This window comes from Homo sapiens, chromosome 5, assembly GCF_000001405.40.
Source record: "Homo sapiens chromosome 5, GRCh38.p14 Primary Assembly".
Taxonomy (NCBI): domain Eukaryota; kingdom Metazoa; phylum Chordata; class Mammalia; order Primates; family Hominidae; genus Homo; species Homo sapiens.
The window spans coordinates 104,440,340-104,453,507 of record NC_000005.10 but is presented as its reverse complement, the minus strand read 5'-3'; the positions used below and the strand labels follow the sequence as shown (position 1 = coordinate 104,453,507).

General features: G+C 37.8%; 2 annotated features.

Moving 5' to 3' along the window:
* Positions 753-1,356: an enhancer, noted in NCBI's record as "H3K27ac-H3K4me1 hESC enhancer chr5:103787853-103788456 (GRCh37/hg19 assembly coordinates)". NCBI's record gives its function as "activates a minimal SCP1, AML or CMV promoter by ChIP-STARR-seq in naive H9 embryonic stem cells {active_cell/tissue: H9 hESC(naive)}" and the evidence as "EXISTENCE:reporter gene assay evidence [ECO:0000049][PMID:30033119]".
* Positions 1,357-1,962: an enhancer, noted in NCBI's record as "H3K27ac-H3K4me1 hESC enhancer chr5:103787247-103787852 (GRCh37/hg19 assembly coordinates)". NCBI's record gives its function as "activates a minimal SCP1, AML or CMV promoter by ChIP-STARR-seq in naive H9 embryonic stem cells {active_cell/tissue: H9 hESC(naive)}" and the evidence as "EXISTENCE:reporter gene assay evidence [ECO:0000049][PMID:30033119]".

Below are 13,168 nucleotides of genomic sequence, written 5' to 3'. Positions count from 1 at the left end.
GGCTTGTTTTGCTCTCTACCCAAGCACACCTCAAATGCTGCACCATTCATTGCTATCACTGCAGTATATCCTATGCCTCCTCAAACACTATCACCACCTGTCAAACCTGGCATGAAATAGTTCGCAAGGTTTTTATGTTGATTTTAAGGAATTAGAAGCATCAAGCATGTTATTTATTCTGGGTTTATCTCCAGTGAGGTATACAGTTACCAGTAGCACTGGATTGCATCCTGAATAATCTTTTCAGGATTGGCTGCTGAACTATTATATTGTTGTCTGGATTAAGGTTGTCTATATATTGCACTAAAATTTGCTTTTATTTAGAAAGACTTCAGGCTGTTAAATAAGTCAGTAGGAAATGTAGCTTCTGACAATTAAAATTTAAAAGGCCACCTCCCCAAATTAATGCAGAATATTTAGCGTCCTAGTATTTCATAAATGTACTTACCAAATTAGATTATAATCTCTATTCCTCTTCCAAGCAAAAAAAAGTATTTCCTGTAGATTTGCTTTCAATGTTAGTGAAAAACAAAGAGAAACAACCACACGAGTATATAAAACTGAGTAGAGTTTTGCAAAATAATTTTGGCAGTGAAAATTTGACAGATGCAGTCTCAGTATCTTGTATATCAAAAAGTAAAGTAAATTTCTGCAGTGGGAGATGGGGTAATACAACAAGGAGGAGTGAAGAGAAAGCAAAGCAGACACCTGAGTGCCAGGAGAAGTCTGAGTCCGTGATGGTTTCTCCCACAAGCTCTGTGCTTTGTCCTTGCTTTCTCTGAGTCTAGTGCTCTTTTCTCTAGGCAGCACTGACCCTTCCTCCCAGCAGAAGGCTGAGTGCTGGCCAAGGTCTCATAGTTGGTCTGTTCATAGATCTAGCAACAGATCCAGGTCTCATTTTTCTCACAGGTGAATTTAGAGATTGAGATTAGATTAATTGTTCTACTATCTCTTTGAGAATTAGAAGAAAGTTTTGGAAACTTCCTCTACAAAAAAACAAAAGCACACAAAACATTTTGGATGAGTTTTAAGCCTATCCATGGCCTCCAAGTTAAGAATCCAGAGATCAGAATACTTTTAAAACATTATATGTGTTTCCCCGGGGAAGGAGCCAAGATGGCCGAATAGGAACAGCTTCCGTCTACAGCTCCCAGCGTGAGCGAGGCAGAAGACAGGTGATTTCTGCATTTCCATCTGAGGTAGCGGGTTCATCTCACTACGGAGTGCCAGACAGTGGGCGCAGGTCAGTGGGTGCGCGCACCGTGCGCGAGCCGAAGCAGGGTGAGGCATTGCCTCACTTGGGAAGCGCAAGGGGTCAGGGAGTTCCCTTTCTGAGTAAAAGAAAGGGGTGACGGACGCACTTGGAAAATCGGGTCACTCCCACCCGAATACTGCGCTTTTCGGACCGGCTTAAAAAGCGGCGCACCACGAGATTATGTCCCGCACCTGGCTCGCAGGGTCCTACGCCCATGGAGTCTCGCTGATTGCTAGCACAGCAGTCTGAGATCAAACTGCAAAGCGGCAACGAGGCTGGGGGAGGGGCACCCGCCATTGCCCAGGCTTGATTAGGTAAACAAAGCAGCCAGGAAGCTCGAAGTGGGTGGAGCCCACCACAGCTCAAGGAGGCCTGCCTGCCTCTGTAGGCTCCACCTCTGGGGGCAGGGCACAGACAAACAAAAAGACAGAAGTAACCTCTGCAGACTTAAATGTCCCTGTCTGACAGCTTTGAAGAGAGCAGTGGTTCTCCCAGAACGCAGCTGGAGATCTGAGTACGGGCAGACTGCCTCCTCAAGTGGGTCCCTGACCCCTGACCCCCAAGCAGCCTAACTGGGAGGCACCCCCCAGCAGAGGCACACTGACACTTCACACTGCAGGGTATTCCAACAGACCTACAGCTGAGGGTCCTGTCTGTTAGAAGGAAAACTAACAAACAGAAAGGACATCCACACCAAAAACCCATCTGTACATCACCATCATCAAAGACCAAAAGTAGATAAAACCACAAAGATGGGGAAAAAACAGAGCAGAAAAACTGGAAACTCTAAAACGCAGAGTGCCTCTCCTCCTCCAAAGGAACGCAGTTCCTCACCAGCAATGGAACAAAGCTGGATGGAGAATGACTTTGATGAGCTGAGAGAAGAAGGCTTCAGATGATCAAATTACTCTGAGCTATGGGAGGACATTCAAACCAAAGGCAAAGAAGTTGAAAACTTTGAAAAAAATTTAGAAGAATGTATAACTAGAATAACCAATACAGAGAAGTGCTTAAAGCAGCTGATGGAGCTGAAAACCAAGGCTCGAGAACTACGTGAAGAATGCAGAAGCCTCAGGAGCCGATGCGATCAACTGGAAGAAAGGGTATCAGCAATGGAAGATGAAATGAATGAAATGAAGTGAGAAGGGAAGTCTAGAGAAAAAAGAATAAAAAGAAATGAGCAAAGCCTCCAAGAAATATGGGACTATGTGAAAAGACCAAATCTACGTCTGATTGGTGTACCTGAAAGTGATGGGGAGAATGGAACCAAGTTGGAAAACACTCTGCAGGATATTATCCAGGAGAACTTCCCCAATCTAGCAAGGCAGGCCAACGTTCAGATTCAGGAAATACAGAGAATGCCACAAAGATACTCCTCGAGAAGAGCAACTCCAAGACACATAATTGTCAGATTCACCAAAGTTGAAATGAAGGAAAAAATGTTAAGGGCAGCCAGAGAGAAAGGTTGGGTTACCCTCAAAGGGAAGCCCATCAGACTAACAGCAGATCTCTCGGCAGAAACCCTACAAGCCAGAAGAGAGTGGGGGCCAACATTCAACATTCTTAAAGAAAAGAATTTTCAACCCAGAATTTCATATCCAGCCAAACTAAGCTTCATAAGTAAAGGAGAAATAAAATACTTTACAGACAAGCAAATGCTGAGAGATTTTGTCACCACCAAGCCTGCCCTAAAAGAGCTCCTGAAGGAAGCGCTAAACATGCAAAGGAACAACTGGTACCAGCCGCTGCAAAATCATTCCAAAATGTAAAGACCATCAAGACTAGGAAGAAACTGCATCAACTAACGAGCAAAATCACCAGCTAACATCATAATGACAGCATCAAATTCACACATAACAATATTAACTTTAAATGTAAATGGACTAAATGCTCCAATTAAAAGACACAGACTGGCAAACTGGATAAAGAGTCAAGACCCATCAGTGTGCTGTATTCAGGAAATCCATCTCACGTGCAGAGACACACATAGGCTCAAAATAAAAGGATGGGGGAAGATCTACCAAGCAAATGGAAAACAAAAAAAGGCAGGGGTTGCAATCCTAGTCTCTGATAAAAGAGACTTTAAACCAACAAAGATCAAAAGAGACACAGAAGGCCATTACATAATGGTAAAGGGATCAATTCAACAAGAAGAGCTAACTATCCTAAATATATATGCACCCAATAGAGGAGCACCCAGACTCATAAAGCAAGTCCTGAGTGACCTACAAAGAGACTTAGACTCCCACACATTAATAATGGGAGACTTTAACACCCCACTGTCAACATTAGACAGATCAACGAGACAGAAAGTCAAAAAGGATACCCAGGAATTGAACTCAGCTCTGCAACAAGCGGACCTAATAGACATCTACAGAACTCTCCACCCCAAATCAACAGAATATACATTTTTGTCAGCACCACACCACACCTATTCCAAAATTGACCACATACTTGGAAGTAAAGCTCTCCTCAGCAAATGTAAAAGAACAGAGATTATAACAAACTGTCTCTCAGACCACAGTGCAATCAAACTAGAACTCAGGATTAAGAATCTCACTCAAAACCGCTCAACTACATGGAAACTGAACAATCTGCTCCTGAATGACTACTGGATACGTAATGAAATGAAGGCAGAAATAAAGATGTTCTTTGAAACCAATGAGAACAAAGACCCAACATACCAGAATCTCTGGGACGCATTCAAAGCAGTATGTAGAGAGAAATTTATAGCACTAAATGCCCACAAGAGAAAGCAGGAAAGATCCAAAATTGACACCCTAACATCACAATTAAAAGAACTAGAAAAGCAAGAGCAAACACATTCAAAAGCTAGCAGAAGGCAAGAAATAACTAAAATCAGAGCAGAACTGCAGGAAATAGAGACACAAAAAACCCTTCAAAAAATTAACGAATCCAGGAGCTGGTTTTTTGAAAGGATCAACAAAATTGATAGACCACTAGCAAGACTAACACAGAAGAAAAGAGAGAAGAATCAAATAGACACAATAAAAAATGATAAAGGGGATATCACCACCGATCCCACAGAAATACAAACTACCATCAGAGAATACTACAAACACCTCTACGCAAATAAACTAGAAAATCTAGAAGAAATGGATAAATTTCTTAACACGTACACTCTCCCAAGACTAAACCAGGAAGAAGTTGAATCTCTGAATAGACCAATAACAGGAGCTGAAATTGTGGCAATAATCAATCGTTTACCAACCAAAAAGAGTCCAGGACCAGATGGATTCACAGCCCAATTCTATGAGAGGTACAAGGAGGAACTGGTACCATTCCTTCTGAAACTATTCCAATCAATAGAAAAAGAGGGAATCCTCCCTAACTCATTTTATGAGGCCAGCATCATTCTGATACCAAAGCCGGGCAGAGACACAACCAAAAAAGAGAATTTTAGACCAATATCCTTGATGAACATTGATGCAAAAATCCTCAATAAAATACTGGCAAAACGAATCCAGCAGCACATCAAAAAGCTTATCCATCATGATCAAGTGGGCTTCATCCCTGGGATGCAAGGCTGGTTCAATATACGCAAATCAATAAATGTAATCCAGCATATAAACAGAGCCAAAGACAAAAACCACATGATTATCTCAATAGATGCAGAAAAAGCCTTGGACAAAATTCAACAACCCTTCATGCTAAAAACTCTCAATAAATTAGGTATTGATGGGACGTATTTCAAAATAATAAGAGCTATCTATGACAAACCCACAGCCAATATCATACTGAATGGGCAAAAACTGGAAGCATTCCCTTTGAAAACTGGCACAAGATAGGGATGCCCTCTCTCACCACTCCTATTCAACATAGTGTTGGAAGTTCTGGCCAGGGCAATTAGGCAGGAGAAGGAAATAAAGGGTATTCAATTAGGAAAAGAGGAAGTCAAATTGTCCCTGTTTGCAGATGACATGATTGTATATCTAGAAAACCCCATTGTCTCAGCCCAAAATCTCCTTAAGCTGATAAGCAACTTCAGCAAAATCTCAGGATACAAAATCAATGTATAAAAATCACAAGCATTCTTATACACCAATAACAGACAAACAGAGAGCCAAATCATGAGTGAACTCCCATTCACAGTTGCTTCAAAGAGAATAAAATACCTAGGAATCCAATTTACAAGGGATGCGAAGGACCTCTTCAAGGAGAACTACAAACCACTGCTCAAGGAAATAAAAGAGGATACAAACAAATGGAAGAACATTCCATGCTTATGGGTAGGAAGAATCAATATTGTGAAAATGGCCATACTGCCCAAGGTAATTTACAGTTCAATGCCATGCCCATCAAGCTACCAATGACTTTCTTCACAGAATTGGAAAAAACTACTTTAAAGTTCATATGGAACCAAAAAAGAGCCCGCATCGCCAAGGCAATCCTAAGCCAAAAGAACAAAGCTGGAGGCATCACACTACCTGACTTCAAACTATACTACAAGGCTACAGTAACCAAAACAGCATGGTACTGGTACCAAAACAGAGATATAGATCAATGGAACAGAACAGAGCCCTCAGAAATAACGCCGCATATCTACAACTATCTGATCTTTGACAAACCTGAGAAAAACAAGCAATGGGGAAAGGATTCCCTATTTAATAAATGGTGCTGGGAAAACTGGCTAGCCATATGTAGAAAGCTGAAACTGGATCCCTTCCTTACACCTTATACAAAAATCAATTCAAGATGGATTAAAGACTTAAACGTTAGACCTAAAACCATAAAAACCCTAGAAGAAAACCTAGGCAATACCATTCAGGACATAGGCATGGGCAAGGACTTCATGTCTAAAACACCAAAAGCAATGGCAACAAAAGACAAAATTGACAAATGGGATCTAATTAAACTAAAGAGCTTCTGCACAGCAAAAGAAACTACCATCAGAGTGAACAGGCAACCTACAAAATGGGAGAAAATTTTCGCAACCTACTCATCTGACAAAGGGCTAATATCCAGAATCTACAATGAACTCAAACAAATTTACAAGAAAAAAACAAACAACCCCATCAAAAAGTGGGCAAAGGACATGAACAGACACTTCTCAAAAGAAGACATTTATGCAGCCAAAAAACACATGAAAAAATGCTCATCATCACTGGCCATCAGAGAAATGCAAATCAAAACCACAATGAGATACCATCTCATACCAGTTAGAATGGCAATCATTCAAAAGTCAGGAAACAACAGGTGCTGGAGAGGATGTGGAGAAATAGGAACACTTTTACACTGTTGGTGGGACTGTAAACGAGTTCAACCATTGTGGAAGTCAGTGTGGCGATTCCTCAGGGATCTAGAACTAGAAATACCATTTGACCCAGCCATCCCATTACTGGGTATATACCCAAAGGACTATAAATCATGCTGCTATAAAGACACATGCACACGTATGTTTATTGCGGCATTATTCACAATAGCAAAGACTTGGAACCAATCCAAATGTCCAGCAGTGATAGACTGGATTAAGAAAATGTGGCACATATACACCATGGAATACTATGCAGCCATAAAAAATGATGAGTTCATGTCCTTTGTAGGGACATGGATGAAATTGGAAATCATCATTCTCAGTAAACTATAGCAAGAACAAAAAACCAAACACCGCATATTCTCACTCATAGGTGGGAATTGAACAATGAGATCACATGGACACAGGAAGGGGAATATCACACTCTGGGGACTGTGGTGGGGTGGCGGGAGCGGGGAGGGATAGCACTGGGAGATATACCTAATGCTAGATGATGAGTTAGTGGGTGCAGCGCACCAGCATGGCACATGTATACATATGTAACTAACCTGCACAATGTGCACATGTACCCTAAAACTTAAAGTATAATAATAAAAAAAAAATTAACTAGAAAAAAAAATATATGTGTTTTCCTAATATATATAAATAGTGGGCTTTTGGATAATGATAATAATTTCTTTGGTCTTTGCTTTTCTGTAATTTGCAAACTACATCGTGCATGCATTTAAGGTTGCAGCCCCAGAAAGCAGACCACCTAAGTAGCAATCTTCGTTCATCCACAAACTTCCTGTGGAACACTGGCCAAGGTACCTACCTTTTCTTTCCTTCGTTTGTTTCATTGGTATATTGTGGATAACAGCATTTACAGTTACCTCATATAGATTTGTAGTTATTAATTTAGTGTAGCACGTGTGTGTATGTATGTGTATTAACATGGCCAGGAATTTATATCTATCATGCTTAGAACAGGCCCCGGAATATGACAATTGTTCAATATATCTTAGATAACACATGGGTATTTTTTAAATTCTATAAATATGCATAAATATAAAGATAAAATACACCTTTCATAATTTTATTTAGGTGTTTTTTCTAGAATGTCAAGATCTAGCTTCATATATTTGAAAATTAACCATATTATCTACTTTGCAATGTGATATCCTGTGCATTTTCTGTACAGTTTTGTTTATGGTTTCTAAGGAATGCAAAAAGAAATGAATAGTTTTATATCTCCACAGCAAAGAATCAGTAACGTTTTCCCAGTTGAAAAAAACACTGAAATAAATATAATCAATAATGCTTAATGTCTGTGCAATGACTTCATTTGTAATTAGCATTCTTCACTGTATAATGTGTCTTGCGATCATGTTCCTCTTTCCCCTTTTTAAAAATAATGTCTATCAAGTTTCCTTATTCATGTGGCTGGTGTAAAATTTCTTACATTTATATGTGAGACTCACTGTTTAATGAGTCTTTTCTAAAAAGGCTTTCCTGACTGAGCTAATTTGTTCCCATTCTTAAAATAAGTTTTAAAATAAGTTTTTCTAAACTGAATATACAAAATTAATATCAACAGATTTCTAACCTATTTCTTTATCTATATGTTTTACAGCTCACAATCAGATAATACTTTAGATAAAATTTGGTTCAAAATTGTTATACCAGATGCAATTTACTTTCTAATCCTAAGTCCTTCAATATCTCTTTTTCCTTTTCCTCATTTGTCCACTGGTGAAGTGTGACAGATAAAATGTCATTTCTGTTAAACAAGAGCACCACTTTCTAGCCCCACTTTTACTTACACAGATAATGAAACTAAGTAAAATAAAAACATGGTTGGAAAGGGAAAGCCACATATATTTTCAGCTTAGTAAAACAAAACTGTTCTGTTTTTCTCTGCAACCATATTTCTTGCTGGACCTATATTTGTTCTTTTCAAAAGCAACTATTACTTTCATTATTCACTTCACTCCTTTTCTGTGGTCAATTATTTTTCAGGCCCTATAGTTTTGCATTTTTAAAATCCGAATATGAGCCCCTCCCTCCCTCTGGCACACATACATATACACTCTATTTTAGGTGCCAGGGCATGTCAATAACATCAATCACCATTCGCACCATCGATCATGCAGCTACGAAGCAGTTGGATGACATCTGCCATAACACCCTTCTGTGCTACGGTAATGCACTTGAATTTTGATGCAGGAAGATATTGGTTTGCAGACTTGTAATCAATCACAGCATCTTTTCAAGCAGAATATCTTGGAGATATAACAGAAAGTTAATCACATATTCTTTGAGTATGTTTGGGCATGAATATAAGAGAGCTCCACATTTGTAGACTAATATTAAGTAATTAAAATACAATTTATAATTCTCCTAATAGCCAACATCATATTAATTACCGAAACAATATTTTGCTTTTTAAACATTAACGCTTTTCTCCACAAAAGTATTTTAAGGTTTTTCTTTATTATAAAATTTGAGGCAACATTTGTGTCATTCGAAAATGCAAAGATAAAGACAAAGCAATCCCCTATTAGTATTCCTGACTCTAGTCAGGACCACTTAGTGTATGCACATTTTATACAGCAATATATTTATTACACTATTGGTGGTGGTCTTTGATATATAGGAAAATCATATCATAGCAAATGTGAGTAAAACAGCAGATTTTATAAATAGAAGCAATTGAAATAAATTAAAAGTAAAACACAGTATCTGATAGCATTATTTAACTTGATTTTATTTGAAACTTGATCATTATGTCTTAATATGAAGCCTTCTATAATAACATGCTTGCTAAGTTTTTTAGCTTTTAAAATGTAATTATTCTAACATTTGGTAAAATGCTTTTTTTGGTTGTTGTTGTTAGACGGAGTCTAGCTCTGTCGCTAGGCTGGAGTGCATGGCACGATCTCGGCTCCCTGCAACCTTTGCCTCCGAGGTTCAAGAGATTCTCCTCCCTCAGTTTCCGGAGTAGCTGGGATTACAGGCGCGCGCCACCACGCCCAGCTAATTTTTGCATTTTTAGTAGAGACGGAGTTTTGCCACGTTGGCCGGGCTGGTCTCCAACTCCTGACCTCAGGTGATGTGCCCCCCTTGAAAAGTGCAGGGATTACAGGCGGGAGCAGCGGCGCCCGGACGCATTATTGATACTTACATGTTTCTAATACAAAAGATGTTGTTACAGCAAAATAACATTTGGTTTCCTGAAAAACTTAGAAATTTGGGGAGAAGAGATAGTGTTACTCGAAATAGAGTTCTTATGCTCGTCAACACAATAGCAGAAAACCTGGGAGAAAGCAGAGATATGTTTTGCCCAAAGGGGACATTTTATTACATTAGACTTCTAGGAAGTAAGAGTAGAATATAGACTCCGAAGGAAGAGGAAGACAGTTGAGTCCAGACCCTAGGGTTCTGCCTCCGCTTCCTTGGGTTAGAAGTTTCTAGGATGTTGTGTGGTGTAATGATGCAGAGGGTCTTTCCTGACAGTCACAATGCCTGTCATTTGGGGAAAGAGGAGGACAGGAGATTTCTTATAAGGTGACAAAAAAAAACCAAAAACTGTATTTTTATATTTGATAAGTTCAATCTTTTAAAGAAAAGTTGGAAATTGTATTTTATGAGATTTGTTACTTAAAATTGGCTAATATTTTAAAGCACTTTGAAGATATATACATGTATGTGTGTATAATATTGAACAGCGGTTTGTCAACCACCAACTGCTAATCTCAGTTCAAATCCACAAGAGTTTTTCAGTCCGAAAACTCTGTGCCCTCTCTGTTTTAGTATTTGTGTTTAATTTCATGAAATGAGAAATATTTACTAAATAATAACTTAATAATTAGCATTAATTTTATATGCCCCACGGTTGCCTATCTATCCCTATGCTTTTTCCCATACTTTTTTTTCTTCCCTCACAAATTCCCTCTTTCAAGGAATGCTCACTTAATAACCTACTTAAGTTATTCTTATCTTTCAAGGCCTGTTTTAAATGCAACCAACTCCATGAAAACTTTCAGTTTCCTCTTAAGAGAATTAAGCTGTTTGCTTTATACCATTTTCCTCTTTCTACCATCTTGCAATTACACACTCAGAAAAACAATCATTAAATTAAATCAGTTGCATGTAGAAGATACAAATAACTTTCTTAATAGTTTTGTGGTTTGTGAGGCTGCAATATGTTAATCCACGTAACAGGCCTAGTGTAAAACTCTTTGTCTCACAAATATACTGTTAATTTTACATTTAACATGATGCCATCTGCTTTAATCTTACATGATCAGAGAATAAAGTGGTCTAATTAATCAAATACTCTGTCCAATAGATGCAATAAATAAAAATATCTGTATGTTTGTGTACATGTATACACACACACAAGCTCACATCAACTCATGACATAACCACTAAACAACAGGATGCCTAAAACACACTTATCACAATCCATATCATACTAATTAATTATCCAAAGGAATTTCAAAAATATTTTTCATATGGGCTATATACTGCACAAAGTGGTTAACGTGTTTGGGAACTAATCCACATTTTCTTATTTGTTTTGCCCAAATTTTGGTCAGTCTGGTCTCAGATTCATCCTTTTTTTCCAACGCAACATGCATCTATATCTGTTTATAAGTAAAGACCTCAAGCAACTGGTAAGGTGAAGCAATTTCAATCGGAAAGCATCTTCCCATCATAATAGAAAAATAAAGGCAAGGAGTTTTTTGCTTCAAAGTGAATATGTCTACTTCGAATACATAAAGTACAAAATCAGTTCAAGCTAGATCAAACTTGTAGGGTTTTTGCTGAAAAAGAAATCACCCTGAAAAACAAGAAAGATTTTGCTGAAAATCTATTTGAGTTTTATGAACTAATCACATTATATTATAATTATTTCTTCATATGTCTACACCCTGCTTTAGATATTGAGCTGCACCTGAATATTCTTTAATTTCTGTTTCCCCAGCACCAAGTTCAGGTATAGGACTCTAGGAAATACTCACCTAAGCACTGAATGAATTCATAGATTAATTAACATATGAATCAGGGTAAGGACTGTTTGACAGCAAGTAAAATTTTCCTTCTTGACTCTGTTTTAACACAACTGAGGCAAACTACAGTAAACTCTACCCATGCTACAATTTAGAAAAATAGTGGGCAAATAATATGTAGCCTGAAGTTTTCATTGGAAAAATTATTCAAGAATATATTTAAATACTTACTCATTTTTATTCATTGAAACTACGATGATCTATATCGTGCCTTTCATGGGTTAGGTACTGTATTTAAGTGCCAAGGGCTACCACAAGACATAAATCAGAAAGACATATATTTAGAGCAGTAGCTCTCAATTTGAGATAACACTGGGCTTTAGGGGACATTTAAAATCTTTTGATACGTTCTGATGTGAAATTTGGGGTAGGGTGCTATTGGGTAAAGATACAGATTGTTGCTAAACATCTTACAAGGAACAGGAATGCCTTTCACAACATAAATCTGCCCAACTGAAATGTCAATCAATAGTGCTGAGATTGAGAAATTCTGATTTAGAAGAATCATGAAGGAGTATAATAAAGACTTAACTTATTTTGTGCTGAAATTTTATAAGCAGAAAGTTATCACCTCTACTTTAGGTGGCCACGGAAGGCTAACAGAAGAGAAACATTCAGAGTGGAGGCTTTAAGTATGTTTTCCAGGAATTAAGTTGATAGAAGGCATAGGAAATAAATCAACTTTATGCCCCAATGGTTGGGGCATAGGGTAGTTAAGATTGTGTGGAATGATGCTGCAGAGTGACACAGGGGTCACCTCAAAAGAGAAGAGAAATATTATCCTTAGTATAACACATTTATACACAGTCATATGACATGAAATTCTTGTTTGTCATACGTAGGAGAATAGATTGCATTATAAAGACAATAAGAGAGATGTTGAATAATGTTTTAGCAAAGAAGTAAAATGGTGGGAGGCAAGGTTTATTTTAAAATAAAACTTCAGGGAAATTATCATTGTCCAAACTAAGGATGTGGCAGCAAGAACAGAGTGAAAGGAATAAATTCAGGAATATTTAGGAAGACCAAATGAAAGTAGTTGTAAAAATCATATCTTAGGTGGAAAGTTATTAAAGAGTTGAGAATGATACCTATGATTCTGGTTTGCTCTATTAATTAAGTATTTACAGTTTGTGATAAGATGATTGCACTGGGTCCAGTCAAGTACATGTTGAATTTGTGGTTACTAGACGTCATTCAAGTAGAAGTGCTCAGTAAGTATTTGGATGTAGAATTCAGGATGTAGTCTTGGTGGAAAAAATTGATTAGGGAGTCATCAGCTTATGGGTAGACATCAGAAACATAGGGATGTATACATTTATCTAAGGAAAATATAAAAAATAAAAGTACAAAATATCCAAAACGATGTCCGTTGTGACGGGGTCACTTTCCAGGAATCCAAACTAAGCCTATGGAGGTTTAGCAGGAGCCTTGGTAACTAGATGCAAGAAGTTTGGTATCAACAGGATAAACAAGTTATAGCTGACATCTTTTCATTAAATTCATTTTAATAAATAGAACATTAACAGTAAATGAATATAATGTGATTTTAAAGTACACAAGTGATACTTTATACTTCTACAT